At 48.8% G+C, this 18,104-nt stretch overlaps 1 pseudogene across 1 annotated transcript in view, besides 1 other annotated feature; it reads right to left on the reverse strand.

Annotated features, from left to right (window-relative positions):
- LOC100420587 (SHC binding and spindle associated 1 pseudogene) overlaps positions 1–18,104 on the reverse strand; it is a 292,307-nt pseudogene that overhangs the window by 141,163 nt on the left and 133,040 nt on the right. The gene's annotated exons all lie outside the window — the stretch shown is intronic.
- Positions 12,861–13,503: an enhancer, noted in NCBI's record as "H3K27ac-H3K4me1 hESC enhancer chr19:29080318-29080960 (GRCh37/hg19 assembly coordinates)". NCBI's record gives its function as "activates a minimal SCP1, AML or CMV promoter by ChIP-STARR-seq in primed H9 embryonic stem cells {active_cell/tissue: H9 hESC(primed)}" and the evidence as "EXISTENCE:reporter gene assay evidence [ECO:0000049][PMID:30033119]".

Genomic DNA, 18,104 nt, shown 5'->3' on the forward strand with positions numbered 1-18,104 from the left:
GTCTGGGGGCTATCGCCACCCATTCCCATCCTTTATTGACTGAGGATTACTCTCTTAACCTCCCAGCCTTTTTGGGCTGAGCCCCATGGGCCACAGGCCATAAGCATTAATGGCAGAAAAAGTGCTCTGACAGACACAAGTGTTCAAGATAGGATGGCATCAGTAAGCATGGAAACTGCTGGTGGCCTCTGGTGTGTGCCAAGGGGATATGGGTGGTGCACTGGCAGCATCTGCTGCATCTGATAAAATGCAAGCTCCTGAGGATGGGCCTACACTACTCCAGCATCCAGCACAATGCAGTCACTTAGTCCTGGGTGGATGCTTGGATGGATGGATGGATGGATGGATGGATGGACAGTTGGATGGATGGACGGATGGATGGATGGATGGATGGATGGACAAATAAGCAAAAGAACATAGTTGAAAATAGGATGAACAGTAGGTGCCTGGGAAAGAAGGAAGTTGAAAATGGAGTTTGACCTTCAGGCACACCAAACTAATTGTCTTTATAATTTTGAGACAATTTTGCTAAACACGTGCCGCCCCACCCCACCCCTCACACACAGCTTCAAAGGTGATGGGGACACTAAGCCCCAAGCCATGCCACAAGCTTCACTCACTGTTGGCCTCTGTCCACTCACTTTAAGGCCATATTTTGGTTAGAAACTTTCTGTGGCAATGCTTGCATAAATCATATTAAATATATTCTTTGCTCAATGGTACTGTGCACCAGGGTAGCTAGCTGTGCCAAGACAGCTGCTAAATTAGAATGCTCTTAAATCAGCCGCAGATGCCTAAATGTTTATAGCTTTGAAGTTCCCCCAGCCATGACTCCTCCTTCTCCTCCCACCAGCCTGATCTTTATGATGCTTTTTAAAGCCAGCTGCAGGGTAAGCAATGTTTGAAACTCAGCACAGGGACAGAGGGCAGCTGTGCACATGTGGGGTCAACCACAACCCCAAGGTGAGTCCAGCCCCGGCCTGTGAAGGATGGCAGGAAAATGAGGGAAAGGATTCTTTCTCACAGCAGAGTCATGGAGAGTCACAGCAGAATAGGCCCCAGGGGATATCCAGGTCTAGAATTCTCCAGCTTTTTCTCACCCAAGGCCCTGAGCTCAAACACAACCTTAAGTAGAAAACATAAACAAATGTACCAACAGGGTGGAATGAAAAGTGATTTTGTTTATTTTCAAAAAAAGCGCCAGCAGCTTCTCAGGCTGGGTGGAAGAATGTCACCTTAGAGCAGGTCTCTCTGAGAAGTGTCATGTGAGCGGCCCCCTCTGGCATGCAGTGGAAGGTGGGGGCACCAGCAAAAGTGGGATAGGACATTTGGTGGCATCGTGCCCCCGGAGCGGAAGGGGAGGAGTGGGGGAGGAGGACACATTTGCAAAGGAGCCAAGGAACCTCCAGGAAGGAAAAGCATCAAGACCAACTCTTCCTTCTGGAGCTCTGACATGACGAGAAACTCTGGGGGGTTTGGATGGTCCTCACTGAGCCTCAGGGCCCCAGAAGAGAACCGCAAATGAGCTGAGTCCAGATTAGCGGTGGGGTGGGAGGATCAGTTCTAGGACATCAGGAAAAGAAGGCCACCTGGGCCCAGTGTTTTCTCTCTGAGAGGAGGAAGCATGGCAGTGACTGACAGGAGACTCCTGCTGCCGCCTTAGACTCTAAATGATGCTGGGTTAGGCCATCGGGAAGCACTGGGCTTCCCTGCCAGGCTAGACAGGTAAATGCTCAGAAATGAAGAGGAAAGAACTGCACCTGCACCTCAGGCTGATGGGTTACGCTAAACAGATGCAAGAGACCAGGTGGGATGGCTCACGCCTGCAATCCCAGCACTTTGGGAGGTTGAAGTGGGAGGATCGCTTGAGGCCAGGAGTTTAAGAGCAGCCGGGACAACATAGCAAGACCCCATATCTACAAATTTTTTTTTTTAAAAAGAGATGGGTGTGAGGGCAGGCACCTGTAGTCCCAGCTATTCAGAAGACTAAGGTTGGACGACTGCTCGAACCCAAGGCTGAGACTGCAGTGAAGTGTAATCGTGCCCCACTACACCCCTGCCTGGGCAACAAAGACAGAACCCAGCTCTAAAAACAAATAGCAAGCAAACAAACAAACAAACAAAAAACCCAACAGAGGCGAGGCTGAGTGTAGAAGAAGCAGACTTTGCCAAGTTAGCTTTAAGTTGGAACCCGAAGTCTAAAGGCAGAGGTTGCTCACTGGCACTGGTCATGTCACTGTTAGATGCCCACAAAGTATAGACACTTGGAAGAAAATAGGTTTTACTACTGGAGACCCTCCCCATGCACGTGGTGGAATGCATAAGGGTTCCAGTTCTTCCCCTTTCCTGTGTCCACATTTTTGCATCAAATCTGCCTAGGGGCAAAAGGAAATTCCCTGATGTTGGATGCAGTCACATGACTTGTTCTGGCCAATGAGACACTGGCAAGCATGGCCCACATGCTACACTTGTATGGTGCGGCTTCTCAGCCTGTGCCTCTACCATCACCTGGGAAGGGAGAGACTTAGAGAAGAGCTGCCCTGCCAGAACTCAGTGCCAGCCACGTGAACTGCAGGAACCAGTGGCTGGGGTTTCGAGCCAGTGGCTTTTGGGTTGCTTTGCTATGTAGCATTTCTGTGGCAATAGCTAATACAAAAATTCAAGAAGAAATGGGCAGACCAGTCGGCACTCCAGGGAGCACTGTCGCCTCTCTCAGCTGAAACAATGGGCTGTCCTGGAGCAGCTGGCAGCCCTCTCCTGAGGGCAGAACCATTAGGATGGTGTCTCCCAGGCCCTGCCCTTAACCCTGCTCCTCATCTCTGCCCCCTCTCCCCCAACCCCAGCCCCAGAATCCCTGTGGGCCACACCATCTGTGCACCCTCTTCTGGATATTGATCCATCCCCAAGGTCCCTGTTATTCCAGAGACTAGGCTGGAATTGCAGCTGCTTCCTCAGGGTATTCTAGCAGAAGATAATGGAAAAAACCCAACTTGATTCTCTAGGATATGGGTGTTATTAATGTTCTCCTGAAAGCAGAACTGAGCTGAGGACTTGGGTATAGTTGGTTTCTTTAGAATTTGATCCCAGGAAGCTGGAATAAGAAGTGCAGAGGGTGAGGAAGGAAAGGGAGAGAAGCTACGGTGGGTCTGCTGGGTTCGTTGCCACTGTGGGAAACTGAGGCTCCATCCTGCCGGGGACTGTCTGGGGAGCTGTAGAGAAAACACCTCAGACTCATCCCTCTAAGATATGGGAGGCTGGGGCATTTACCCACAGGTCCTATCCCCATGGAGAGCTGCTGTCCCTGGTATATCAATTACCTCCCACCAACCACAGCCATTCCCACCCTGCACCTGCCCTTGAGGGCTGAGTAAGTACACAGTTTGGAGAAATCCCTGAGAACCACTGAGAGCCTGGATGGCCTGAGGTGAGAAGCTTGCAGCCTGCAAATGAAGGCAGAGACAGGGCAGGAGGCAGCATGGGCACCAACTGGGGCTGCTACACTGAGGGCCCATAAGACAAGTATGTTAACTTTGCACTGTGATCTTGCTAGACCTTCACAGCAAACCCTGTCTTACGGGTAAAGAAACAGGCTCCAAGCAGTGAGTGACTTCACCAAGGCCAGCTAGCAAGTGATGACTTTTGTCCCCAAAGCCCTGGCAGCCAGATTCTGAATCCATTGTTCTTACCCTTGGCCTCAGGGCTTTCCCATTAACTAATTAATTTACTCAACAAATATTAATTATGATGTAGACACTGTGGTAGGTGATATGGAGGATTGCCGAGTACAGTTGTACAATTTGTGCACTGTGAAAAAATACCATATCTAGGTCACACCACAACAGCATAAAATGCTGTATTTATTATTCTAATTTTCTAGCAGATGGTAATAATGTGCCTTGTTCTAAAAAAAGTGTACTAAAACAATGTTCCAGTAGATATATGAAGAGTCCTGAGGAAGGGCCCTTGTCCACTTTGCAGAAAGGCACCATCTGGGCTCCTGGCAGCCCTGTGATCAGGGGAGTACAGTGTAAGAGTGAAACAGACACAGTTCCTGCTCTCATCAAAACTGTGGATTAGCCAGAGAGCCCCATGTCCGACTAAACATGCCGCAATTTGTATTTATGCATATATTTATATATACCGTGGATGAAAAGAACCTAGTAGTCTTTGCTCAGAAAGCCTTTCCTGGCCTATCTCCCTGGAAGAAAGAAGAATGAGAAGAAACTACTCAGGCAAAAAGTGAGAGAGAGTGTTTCATCAGGAAGAGGGAACAGCAGGGGTTCAGGCAGGAGGGAGCTAGATATGTCTAGGGAGCTTTTGGAAGGAGCCAGGAAAGGAGTGAGTTCAAGCGGGGGCGAGGGAAGAGGCAGACAGGGCAGGACACGCAGGGCCCTTAGAACAAGGTACGTGACTGAGGGCATGGGAAGCCACAGGAGGGTTAGAAGCAGCCTCATGGCACTAGCATCTGTACCACCATTTTTTTTTTTTTTTTGAGACAGGGTCTCATTCTGTCGCCCAGATTGGAGTGCAGTGGCACGATCTTGGCTCACCGCAACCTCCGCCTCCCAGGCTCAAGTGATTCTCCTGCCTCAGCTTCCTGAGTAGCTGGCACTACAGGTGGGCGCCAACACGCCCAGCTAATTTTTGTATTTTTAGTAGAGACGGGGTTTCACCATGTTGGCCAGGTTGGTGTTGAACTCCTGACCTCAAATGATCCAAAGTGCTGGGATTACAAGCGTCAGTCACCACACCTGGCCATGCACCAGCTTTTTTTCAAAGCAGCCTGACCTGCTAATTTGCAGGATAAGAGGGAAGCTGAAACAAGGCAAATTAGCAAATAGAAGAGACTTTTTTTTTCCCCTGGGGTAAGAAAGGGCCCTGTTCTTGAGTTCCATGCATTCCACCAGCTCTGTGGAGAGTCAGCAGTGGTGGGCAAAGTAGCAGGCGTGACAGGTAAGCAGTCAGTCTGGGAGAAAATTGGAGGGAAAGCGGCGGTGGTGTTGACTATTGTGTATGGGAGAAGAGATAGAGAAAGCTAACTAGGTGATGGGAGATCTCACCAACTGCAATTTCAGCTGTCCACAGCACCCTGAAGGCTGCAAAACCACTGAATTATGCCGAGAAACTGAAGGAAGGAGACCACAGGGGGTTCACACCCTCAGGTGATGAATCTACTTCTAGCCCTGAATTTTTTTGTTTTCTAACTGCTATTCAGAGTGGAGTCTGGAAAACTCCCATTTGCAATACTGAGATGCACCGCACACCCAAATAATACCTGGAGCAGGCACAGAGCAAGAGCTGAGTTGTTAGTGCCCAGCTCCCCTCACCTCACTTGGTCTCAGAAGAACTCTGGGAGGTGGCGATTCTCTACCAACGATGGAACTGAGGCGTGGGGGTAGGGTCATTTTCTAGGATGACACAGCCAGTGAGTGTTCCAGTTGGGATCTGTGTCAGTCCAGCAGGTAAGCTCTTGGGTAAACACTATATGACCCCCCGCCCTCACCACCCCCAGGCCTCCCCCTTAGTCTTCTCCGAATTCCAGCTTAAGTCATTCCTATTGTCTTCTACTGGAGCTTTTTCATCTCATCGCAGGTACATAAAATCGCCTTCCCTCTTCTGTCACAATTTGCCCTCCTCTCTTGGATTCAAAGGTCTCCCCTAGGAAACCTTCCCTGATCCTGTGTGATGGGGCTGTCCGCATAGTTCCACATGTGACTGTGTGTACACGCATGTGCATCTGAAGTAACATGCCCATTTTTCATGAACTGAGACTCAAGGAAGTCAAATGCAAAACAAGTGGCTGGCATGGTGGCTCGCACATGTGATCCCAGCACTTTGGGAGGCTGAGGGGAGCGGATCACTTGAGGCCAGGAGTTCTAGATTAGACTGGCCAACATGGCAAAAACCCTCTCTACTTAAAACACAAAAGATTGGCTGGGCCATGGTCGTGCGCATCTGTAGCCCTAGCTATTTGGGTGGCTGAGATACAAAAATCACTTGAACCCGGGAGGCAGAGGTTGCAATGAACTGAGATCCTGCCACCGCACTCCAGCCTGGGCAACACAGCAAGACACTGACTCCAACAAAACAAAACAAAATAAAACAAAAAAACCAAGTAAGAATCCACAAAGAAACATCCATGAAATTAAAAACAAAATGCAATTCTCATTGAGATGGAGTGTTTCTAAGACAGTAGGACCTTATGTCTTGTGGAAAAAAAAAGACTCAGGACCCCAATGCATTCTGCCATAAGGAAAAAATTAAGGTGAAAGCTGAGACAGGCAATAAGTTGCCTCTGCATTTGTTCCTGAGCAGAGCTACAGAAAAAAGGTTAAAGATGAGCTTTTCTTATGTAAACTGCTGATTTACTGAGCGAGAGAGGACTTGTGACTGACTACTCCCTGCACTACTCCTCCTTTTCCCTTGCCACATGTAGATTCAGTAACGTGACCATGCTCTTCCTTTTGGCTCTCCAGCCTGCTCTTCCCCTTTAAATAGTGAAGCCCTCAGGGTTATCTTTGGAGAAGGCACAGAGCACAGACTGTTTTTGGGATTCTGTATTCCTTTCTTCCAGGCATGTCCTTAACCTTGGCAAAATAAACTTCTAAATTGATTGAGAACTGCCTCAGATACTTTTGTTTGTCTGCCCTCCACTCTCCCACCGTATGGACATTTGAGAAATCAATCCCAATGAAATAAATACAGGCTGCTGTAATTGTGGCAGTTCATTAGGAATATAGAATTTTTTTAAGGCTTCAAGGCCAAATACCTGCTGATATAGTCAATAGCAAATACTAATAACTGCATGCAGAGAACAGCAGTGACAGACCAGGCAACTGCGATATACATGAAGGCATATTCCTCATGAATATTCAAGGCCTTCTTCTAGGAAGAATTAGGCACATGGTTGCCTGACTGGGTAAACAGGTGATCAGCGTTTGCAGCAGATCCGATGTAAAAATATGGCAGCTGATGTCAGCATTGAGGCCATATGCCAGAAAACAGTATGGGGAAGTCTTCCTGGTAAAAAAGCACCTCTGAAGATCAAAATGGCCCCCTAAGTGACAGCCCTGAGCAGTCATTTTGATATTTGTCCATAACAAAGTGGGGAATGTCAACCAAATGGCCTGAAGGTAATGGCAAACAGGCATAAAGGACGCAGCTTCCAGGCCTGGCAGGAGCCAGGAGGCCCAGGTCTGAGTCTTGCTTCTGTCAAAACCCTTTTCATCTCCTGCCCTCCTTCTAAGGCCACTGCCACCTCTGATGTTCCATGATTCATGCGTGGAGGAAATGCACACTCCTCTTCCGTAATGCTAATGCGGCTTCTGGCTGTGTGGACCGTGCACCAGATGTTGTGCTAAGCGCTTCACAGTGGAGCACACTGCTCTGACCTCGGGCTCCAGCTCGGTGTGGAAGATGCGGTTCCACTCTCTTATTTGATCTTCACATCAAGAAACAAGTCTATTATTCAAATTAACATTCAAGATGCTTATAGTAAAATGGAATGGCATAAACTCTGCAAGGATAAACAGCCATCTCCTTGCTCTCTTGGAGCAATTCAACGGGCCTCACAGGGGAAGAGGCCACCAGCTGCTTACTGACTTTGCTTGGCTCAGCACCATGTGCACAGGTATTGCCCTATAGCACTGCACAAACAAAGCCTGTATGCTATACTGGTGGTGACTGAAGGGATTTTTCGAGGCCTGATTTAGCAACCGGCATTATACCACTAGGCCTGGCATTTCATTCCAGGTCGGGGTCTGCAAACACCTTCAGGGGCAGTTAAGGCATGACTGGCTAATCCACCTGGAGGGTCACAGCTATGACTGCCTCACCTTTTCTAAACAGGCCAACAGTGGTGTGTATGAGGACAACACTCCCCCAAAGCTGTACCCTTACACACACACACACACACACACACACACACACACACACTTATACACACACGCACACAGTAATACACACACTCATACACACATGCACACACAAGCTCATATGGTACATACCTTGAGAGAAACTGTTCTTGACAAATCACTACTACCTCCTACCATCAATGAACTTGAGTCCTCACAACTAGGAGGAATGGAACCCCAGCCCACTGGGAAAGGTAGAAACTGAATATTAGAGCAGCAAGTAATTTGGAATAATCTTATGACTCATTAAACCTTCAAAACTTAAAGAGATGTTTATTTTACACTCCACCTAAAATTCAGCAGTTAGCACACCTTCCATCCCCTTCCTCGTGGGCAGGACAGCACAGCTAATCAGCACTCGGCTCTTGCCTCTGGGTGAACTAAATCTGTCTTCAGTCACAACGGACCTAAGCTTAATGAGTTCCATCTGGTCTTCGTGGAAAGCCACCTGCACCACACAAAAAGGCAGGGAAGTTTCCCTGGGAAGGCATTGGGACCTGAGGCTGGGGGGACCTCTGGGGCTGGCACCAACCCTCAGGTGGCCTTGATCTGGAGGAGACAGCACTGTCTCAGGGCTTGTAGGGGCACCACGTGGGCTCCTGACCATGCCATCCCTCACGTGAGCTCCATTCTGTTCCATTAGAAGCCTCTCTAGATGCCCAGCTCTCCAGTAGCCATCTTGACTTTCCCCTCTCCTCAGCTCCTAGACTGGTAGCCCATTGGAGAATTAGCTTGTGTTTCTAGCTGGTGCCAGGAAGATATCTGGGTCACCTTTGGGGGAAGTGATTGCAGGGTGGTGCAGGATATTCCTGGGGGGACTCGTTGCAAGGGTACTGCCTGAGGAAGCATCTCTGCTCCTTTGCAGACCACCTTAGGTGCAGCCAGGCGCCACCCTAGAGGAGAGAAGCATTATCATAGTTTCATTGGAAGAAGAAGTTTCCAGTGACGTTGGTTGCCCCTTATCCCACATCAGTCCTTTTGTGTCTGGAAGGCTTGGACCCATTGCAGGAACATGCTCTCCTATATATGGAGGGTGTGGAATGCCCAAGGGGCTTTGGGAGTGGTCCATGGTGGACCTGGGACTGGGTAGTGGGTGGGGAACAAGGTTCTGAGGTAACTGAAGCCCAGACCTCTAGGCAGAGAGGCTGCTCAGGGGAACGGCTGTGGGCATGATGAGACCCATCACTATCTCATGTTCTCAGCCTCCATCACCGCTGTCAACCCTGTCCCCAGCTCCAGACTGCTTCTCTGTTTCCAACACTCAGCTCCCTCCATAACCTCCTGTTAACTTATGCCTCAGTCTCTCTCTAAAACTCAGAGTACTCTCCCTAAAACATCTTTCCCTTTAGCACTGCCAGGCTGGAAACTTCAGGGGCTGCTCACTGATGCCCAGACGAACTCCACATGCCTTGGTCCTCTGCAATCCAGGTGCCCTCTGCTCCCACCGCCCTGCCAGTGCCTCTGCCCTGCCCCTTCCTATGCAGAACTTGTCACAGCCCAGCCCTGGGCCCACCACCTCCATGAAGCCTTCCTGGCCTCACCACTCCAGCCTACACCACTTCTCCCTCCCTAGGGCCTGTCCCCTGCACCCTTCCCTTGTTCCTGCCTCTTGATAACACTTCCGGGAGCATGTCATTATCACATGTCTTTGATTCTAAGACTCACATTTTTTTACACGTCAACCTCTCTGAAACAGGGATGCAGCAGTAAAAAGGAGGCCCACCATGACTAGCTCCATGTATGCCAAGCTCACTCTGGGACAAATTTTGTTTCTGGTTTAAAGCAAGGATGACCACAGCAGGGGTCAGTGATGTCTCCTGGCCTGAAGCAGCTTTAGGCTGCAACTCTCCTAAATGGCTCTGAGGGGGACCCTGCACAAGCCACCAGCCCCTCAAAGGGACAGCAGGGAGACATTGATGTGTCTCCTCTTCTCATCCTCTATTGTTTCTGGAGACAAAAGAAGCCCTTGAAATATTTATTGGAGTAATAAAATGTCATTTAATTCCTTGAGCCTAAGGAAGAGTGGATGAAGACCTGTTCCCAGGGGTTGTCCCTGAGCCTCCCCCCGGGACATGCCAAAGCTGCCTCAGATAAATTCTCTTAAAAGTGGAAAATGTCTCTGCCTGAGGCTGCAGAGTGATCGCTAATGGAAGAGGCCTCACCTGCTTCCTGTCACCACCAAAAGGTTCGTGATTTTGACAGCTCAGCCCTGGGGAGGAGCTGGATTCAGGCCGGGCTGCCAGTCCCTCGCATGCTAGATGTGCTCAGATGTGTCCCTGGCGATTAGTGTCACAGCAGGCAGGGGCATGAGTGTCTCCAGGAAAGGGCCCTTCCCCCTGCATGTATCAGGAGAAGTAGGACTGGACGCCAGATACAGCAAAACAAGCCAAGAAGCCAGGCCTGGGAGCACCATGGCCGTTAGATGCGGGCTCTTCCAGCTGGACAGACCGGCAGTTCTGGATCTTAACTTCAGGCGAGTGAGGCTTAGGGGAGCAGGCTGGCTCCAGGTCATGCAGGAGCAGGGCCACTGGCCCTTTACCCTGTGGGGTTAGGAAAGCTCAATATTGGAAACGGGGCCCAGAGGAGACAGCATCCAGGGGCTGTTCATGGAGACCACAAATCCGGCCTCGGGTAACAACACCCTCTCTGCGAAGAACAGAACCCACCTACCCAGGAGCCCTACAGCCAATTCCAATAGCAAATAGAAACCAGCATCATCAGAAAGGGCCAAAGGGTGAGGAAACAGCCACTTTCACTTGAGGTAGTCAGGAAGGCTTCAAGGAGGATTTTCAGTGCACAGAGTACAGGATGAGGAGAGTGAGTTTTCCAGGAGGAGCACGTGGCAAGAGCCAGGGCCCCATGATACGATGTCCCCAGCCCTGTGATATGATGTCCCCAGGGGTCCCCACCAGCCCAGCAGCCACTGGGGAAATATCTGCAGGTGCATCAGGGCCTTGGGGAGGCAGCAAGGTGGGAAAGATCAAATGGAGACCATGCTTGTTTGGCACCCACAGCCCATCTCAAAGTCCTTGCTGGAATGCTTCCCAAGACACCCATCAGTCTTCCAGAAAGTTCTCCCTCATGTCTATCAGCAAAAATCTTACACTTTGTCCTCATAGGTTTTCAGGGGCCTGAGGCCACTTTCTAGAATAAAAACTGAATAGATGCAAAACACAGTGGTGTATTTATTTTATGTTCACCTTTTATAAGTATTTTCAAATACATGTAAGTATCAGAGTATAATGAACCCTTTTATACCCATTACTCAATGTCAATAATTACCAACATTTTGACAGCCCTGTTTCATCTGTTATTCCCACCTCCATCGCCTTGAGGTATATTTAAAATTCAGCAAATAAAGACAGTTTTTAAGACCAAAAATAGGAAAAAAATGATCTATATAGCTGATGCTTACATGCTAGTTACAGAATTTGTAAAAATGGGTATGCATTCATGGTGTGCCTGAGGCAGTGCACGCCGAGAATGGAACGTCAATCTGAGCTGCTGGGTAAACATCTTCTTACTCTCCATCAGAGCATCCGTGAAACTGCCGCAGAGAGATGTGCATCATCTGAGTGTGGAGCCCTGCAGGGATGGGACCCTCATGGCTGGGACAGACCCTGCCCCAGCCAGCCCCCAAGTGCAGCCAGGACCACAGCTGGGGTGGGAGGACAGGGGCTGAAAGGGAAGTGGCAGTGCTTGTGACATTAGAACCCTCCTGGGCTGTCACTGAAAAACTCCTCCTTCCAGCTCTCCCTGCCCCTGCCAGCTCACTTGCATGGTACAGAACTTGGCTATTAGAGTCAACGCACCAATCGAGCCTTTCATCCAGTGGCCTGCAGACACTGGCATGGCAACAGAAGAAAAAACTGTGAAAGTCTCATTCGACTTGTCTTCCTTCTGTTTTGAAGGGAAAAAGAAAATGTGTCCTGGCAGTCATCATTACTGACTTGGTGAAATATCGTCTTTAATCTTAAGATCTGAACAACCCCTGTAGGTGGGCATTTTTGTTTTCTGTCTTCCCACAAGCAATTAGAAGTTTCTGCTAAGATAGTTAATTCCCTTTTTATTTTCACTCAAATACTCTTAACAGAATCATGCAGACTCCACATTGTCTAATTAGAGAGCATTTACAATGGTATCATGAGATTATAAAACAAATGTGTGATGAAATGTGTGTGAAAATCAGAGCACGGTGAGGCCTCAGAGTGGTGTGTGTATAGACAGTGCCAGCTTAGATGCGTATTTCCAAGGGGTCGTTGCCACCTAGCCCCTCCTGGAAGAAGCCAATGCAAAAGAAAGCTAACCCCCAAAATGTAGGGGGTTAGTGGTCCTGAGGACCCTGGAGCCAGGGAGAACAATGGCTTCCGTCTCATTACATCTTGGCCCTTCCTGCACATCCCATGCAACCCAAAAAGTTACCAAGACAGGTCTCAGTAAATTCAGAGGTTTATTTTGCCAAGGTTGAGGACGCACCTGGGAAGAAGAAACACAAGTCCCAGTAGGATTTGTGACCTGTGCTTTTTCAGGATGGTTTTGAGGACTTCAATATTTAAAGGGGAAAGAGCGATAGAAGAGAGGGAGGGATGAAAAAAGGGGGGAGGGTAGGCAGTGAGGCCAGTGGTTGTGTGCTCATGAGGCTTTGCTTAGTGCTCAGTGAATCTACATTTTACATGTGAAAAGATGGGTAGAGAAACAGTCAATTATCCACATTTTACATAAGATAAAGTAAGCATGTAGGCCGTGCCTCACACCTGTAATCCCAGCGCTTTGGGAAGCCAAGGAGGGAGAGTCTCCTGGGGGCAGAGGATCACTTGATGTCAGGAGTTTGAGACCAGCTGGGGCAACATAGTGAGACTCCAACTCTATTTATTTAAAAAAAATCATTAATAAATAATTTTAAACATTTAAAAATAATAGGAAGAGAAAGTAAGCATGTGAAATTACAGCTGTCTGCCTGGGAACATAAAAAAGAAGGCAGAATAGGTGACTCAGCTCCCAAGCTTAACTTGTCCTTTGGCATAGTGAATTTGGAGTCCCCAAAATCTACTTTCTTTCACATCCACATACCCCTTCCTGAAGACCCAGCCCCAGGCTCAGACACACCCGCTGGGACCCTGATCGTGGAGTAAGCACATGTGCCCCTGGACTCCCAGCCTGCCTGGCGCCGCCTGCCTCTCCATCCTCCTTTCCTGCTGCTCTTGTCTCGCTTATGCTCTAGGTTTGCACTGCACTGGGCCCATCTCTCTCCCTTTCAACAGCCAAGCCCTCTCCCATGGAGGGGGAGCTCCAGATCTTCAGGACACACTCCCCTGTTTTGGGGCTGACTTCTTGTCTTTCTGTATTTGGCTGAAATGTTGCCTCCTCAGACAGGCCACCTGTCAGCTTTTGTCATTCTCTGCCCCATTCTGAGTTACCTCCACAGCGCTCCCCATCATCTCTGTTTTCTCTGCTTTCACACATTCTGTATTCCACACTAAAATGGAGGCTGTGTGGAGAAGGGACCATGCTCATCTTACTCAGGCTTTGAGCCCTAGCACCGGGAAACCACAGGGCCCGGTACACAGGAGACACAAGGTGAAAACATGAAATGAACGAGCAAATGAATGAAAGCACAAACAGAGTGGAGGCCCCTTTGGGAGACTGCCACAGCCCCACAGGGGAGCACGCTGCAGGTGGGAAAGCCCCTTTGGGAGACTGCCACAGCCCCGCAGGGGAGCACGCTGCAGGTGGGAAAGCCCCTTTGGGAGACTGCCACAGCCCCGCAGGGGAGCACGCTGCAGGTGGCAAAGCCCCTTTGGGAGACTGCCACAGCCCCGCAGGGGAGCACGCTGCAGGTGGGAAAGGCTGCCCAACACTTGATGTGATCCTGTCTGGCGCTAGAATTAGTGAATAAAATTCAATTCAATTCAGAAAACCTTTACTGAGGCTTATTGGGGCCTGGGTGGTTAGAACTTGTGCAAGCTGTTATGGATCCAAGATCTCCTCTACGTAGGAACTGGAGCTTCGTAAGGCCCCTGACCAAGCCACAGAGAAGATTCTATCTTGGCTCTCTCCCTCCCCTTGGCTATTCTTTCTCTGATTCTTTTACAGCAGTTTCTCAACCTTGGCAGGATTGAGGCTTGGGGCCAGATAATTCTTTGTGGTGGGGTCTGTTGCACTGTACCTTGTAGGATGGTCACCAGCATCTGTGGTCTCCACTCACTAAATGGCAATAGCACTCCCATCTCCAGTGGTGACAACCAAAGATGTCTCCAACTATTGCCAAATATCCCCTGGGGCAAAACTCTCTTGAGAACCTCTGCATTACAGACTTTTCAACTCCTGATTTCTAAACATCAGAATGAACAAGACTCATGCAGATGGGTTTTAAAACCTTGAAATTGGATGAGATTCACCGGGCAGTGAGCGTAGACAAAGAAGAGTGTGAGGAGAGGTGACTCCTGTATACATATCTCCATTCTGGGCCTCTTCCCTTGTCACAACCAAACTGAGGCCCACTTGCCTGATGTGGTGCCCACAGCGAGGTTTTTGCCGTGATAGAAAAAAAGGTGCTTACTTGCAGGGTGCCAGGTGAAGACAACCAGGCAGCTATTGCTCAAATCCTGGCCTCCCTGACGGCTTGCAGGCGAGGGTTTTTAAAGGCAGGGTAAATTTCAGGAAAGAAGCTACAGGCAAAATAAAAAATCAAATACACCATGGAGGTTTTACATTGGTTAAAGCTTAAAAAGGTAATGTACCTTGAAGTAGGGGGCTTATAGGTTGTAGGTAGAGTCAAAGATTTTCTGATTTTGTAATTGGCTAAGGAAGAGAAGCTTTGTTGACAAATTTTGGGTTACTGGAAACATGTTAACTGGCTAAGAGTGATTTTCTTTAAGCCCCCCAGGAACAAACAAAGCAATGAAGCTTAGTTCTCACTTCCCCCTTGTGTGCATCTGGACTCGTTAGGTGGGGTCGGCACCTCTGAAGGACAACTCAGGGATACAGGTTAAGGAGCAGCCTTTAGTTTCTATAGTGAAACCAAACATCTCTGGAGCTTTAACTTCCTGGGCTACCGTTTTAGGCTACGATATACTTTTATTTTAACAAGTTGCTTATTTACTCCTGGGGCTTCTTTCACATCCACATACCCCTTCCTGAAGACCCAGCCCCAGGCTAGGTGTCTGAAATTTCTCTTGAAATAACTCAGGATTTTCCTTTATTTCCATGCTTAGGGTCTGCAGGCCCCTAAAAGAAGGGGTCCCTGCTTCATCTCACCCTGAACTCCAAGATCACATATCCGACATCCAAGCTGGCATCCCCACTTGATTTGCATCTCAAGCTCAGCGCTCCCACTGCTGAGCTCCTAATCCTCCTCTGCTCTCCTCGCCATCTCTCCTGGTCTCAGTCAACAGCAACTTCATCCCCAACTGCTCAGGCCAAGAGCCCTGTGGTCACACTTGACTCCTCTTTCTACTCTCAACACAACTATCCCATCACCAAGTAACCCATGGGCTCTGGCTGCAAAACTTCATTTATTCCCCCCAGAGTTGCCACCCTGGGTCAGGCCCAGTGATGGCTCATCAATGTCATTTCACGGCCACCTAACAGGTTCCCAGACTTTGAAGTGGCTGGGTCTCCAGGCGGCAGCTGCAAGGGAACTCCTAAAACACAGAGGAAACCATGCCACTCCCGCCTGTCAACCCTCTATCAGCTTCCCTTTACACCTACAAGGACATGCACACTCCTGGCCAGGGCCCGGAGGCCCTGTGTGATCTTCACCCTGCCTGCTGCCTGACACACTGGCCCTGTGCTCTCCCACTTTGCTCCTCAGTGTCCAGTACCTGCTGCTCCTCCTGCCAGGCTCCATCCTTCCAAAGATAGCCAGGTGCTTGCTCTCTTCCTTCCAGTGTCTGCTCAAATGGCAGCTCATCAGGAAGGCCTTCCCTGGCTACGTTACATAAAAAGCAACTTGCTGGGCTCCCTCACCCCCAGCTGACTTAACCAGCCTAACTGTTCACCATCGGACTATCCTGAACTCACTGGTGTATGTGTGATGCCTCTTGCAATAGGATGTGAGCTCCATGAGGGCAGGGACTGTATTGTGTTCACTCCCGTATCTCCAGCACTTGGAAAACAGTAGGCACTCGGTCAGGATTTGTTGATGAGATGGTCTTTTGCTTTACATACCTTGACGGAATACAACCTTCACAAGGCACTGGTCAACACCATTACAATGCCTCCAGCCTGTCTCAGAGACTCACCCACAGTTATGCTATCCTCTCCAATACCATATGAATTCTGTCTCCACCTGTCCAGGAGGGGCTTCTGGGGAATATTGTCTAGAATCTGATCTGTTTTTTTGATATTCTTGATTGATAATACTGCTAATTAATTCTGGATATGTCCAATTATTCCAGATTTTCCAGTACTCACCATAACTTATACCCAACATTATGCCTTGAAGATTCCAAATTTCCCCAATTTTATATGTCATACAGGGGAGACGGGGTTGTTTGAGGCACAGCCATAAATCACTATCGATAAGGAAATGCAAGATGAGTAGAACAAGTGTTTTTAAACTCTCGTTAGGCTCCATGGTCAGGCAGGACTAGGCGGTGTTGCATGCAACTAACAAACATCCCTTAGCACAGGGGTGCTTTGGTCTCCTATACTCATATCCAAAACCCACCCACATGTTGACTTCACTGCTGGAATCTGTAAAAGGTTGGTTCGTATCTCTGTAAGATACTGATGGCCAGGTGGCCAGCACAGGTGGGATGGCCCTAACCTGCCCACCTTTGTGGCCATAGTTGCTTGTTATTATATCAAGTTCCAATGGACAGATTTAACCCATAAAGGTTGACCAAAGGCAAGCAGGTCATGAGGTGCAAAATATGTTAAATACAAGTCTTTCCAGTGTTTCAGGGCTTTAAGGAGATGGTTAATTCAACAGAATATCAGTCAGCAGAAAATCAGTCCTTTCCTTTCAGGGAGAGTCACAAAAGGATACTGTAATGGATGACCTGGAAGGCCCATGGGAGAAACTATGGCCATAGCCTCCCAACTCTTCAGAGAATTTGGAAAGGAATTTTAAAAAGGAATAGCACATGAGTCAAAGTCATCTCCTTAGGGACTGGTCTATAATGTCCCTAATGATGGTTGGTTTCTTTAGAGTTCACCTTTCAAGAAACCTTTCCCCCACCACTATCACCATCACCACCAGTAAAAGGGGTTCACCTGCACATCCCCAACTTGCAATCCACAGAATGCACCTACCACCCCTTGACAGTGAAGCCTCTTCACCTTACTTGAAGAAGGATTCTCCTTTTGTAGAAGCCCCGCTATTAACCTCTCACATAAGGAACCCAGAGACTGTTCAAAACAGGGGTTGGCAAACTACAGCCCATGCATCAAACCCAAGGCTCTGCCTGTTTCCATGCATAAGTTCTACTGGATCACAGCCACACCCATTCTTCTACCCACTGCCCATGGCTGCTTCCTGCTAGGACAGCAAAGACCTGGGGCCCACACCATCTAAGACACTTACTACCCGATCCTTTATGAAAAAAATGTACCAATCCTTGTCTTAGAGCAGTCAGCCAAATCAACAGACACAAGAATGCCATTGTAAAAACACACAGCCACGCAGGACTGCTGTCCTGTCACCCACTTCCACAGTTAGCACACAGAGGAGAGTAGGCAAAGAAGTTTTGCCCATCAGCATTGTGGCAGATGCTGTGTGCCCCACAGCGTCCCCTGACTCCCACCTCTAGAATTGAAAGTTGCTTTCTGCAAACACCCTAGACTCTGCCTGAAATTTTTTTCTGGCCAAACGAGGCAAGCTGAAAGCTGCCCCACAAGGCTGATCTTCATCATAGATACATGGGTAGTTGGTGGATAAATACCTTAGCTCCTTCACTCTTCAGTTGGGCTAACACAGGTACCTCCAAAAAAATTCCTTTTTTGTTTAAACTAATTCAAACTGGCTTTGTAGCCCTTGTAATTTAAGAGTCCCAACTAATCTCAGTGAGCTTTTCCACAGCATCTTCTCCAGGAATTGATCAGGGACCAAGATGCCCAACACAGAGTCACTGGGCGCTCAGGGCTCTGCTGGGACAGAAACCCCAGGTAGGCCCGTTGAGCACCATGACAGTCAATACGCCTTGGCTCAAGAGAACAATGCTGGCCTCCCTACTCCCACCATTCAAC

The sequence above is a fragment of the Homo sapiens genome, chromosome 19 (genome assembly GCF_000001405.40).
Source record: "Homo sapiens chromosome 19, GRCh38.p14 Primary Assembly".
Lineage (NCBI taxonomy): Eukaryota > Metazoa > Chordata > Mammalia > Primates > Hominidae > Homo > Homo sapiens.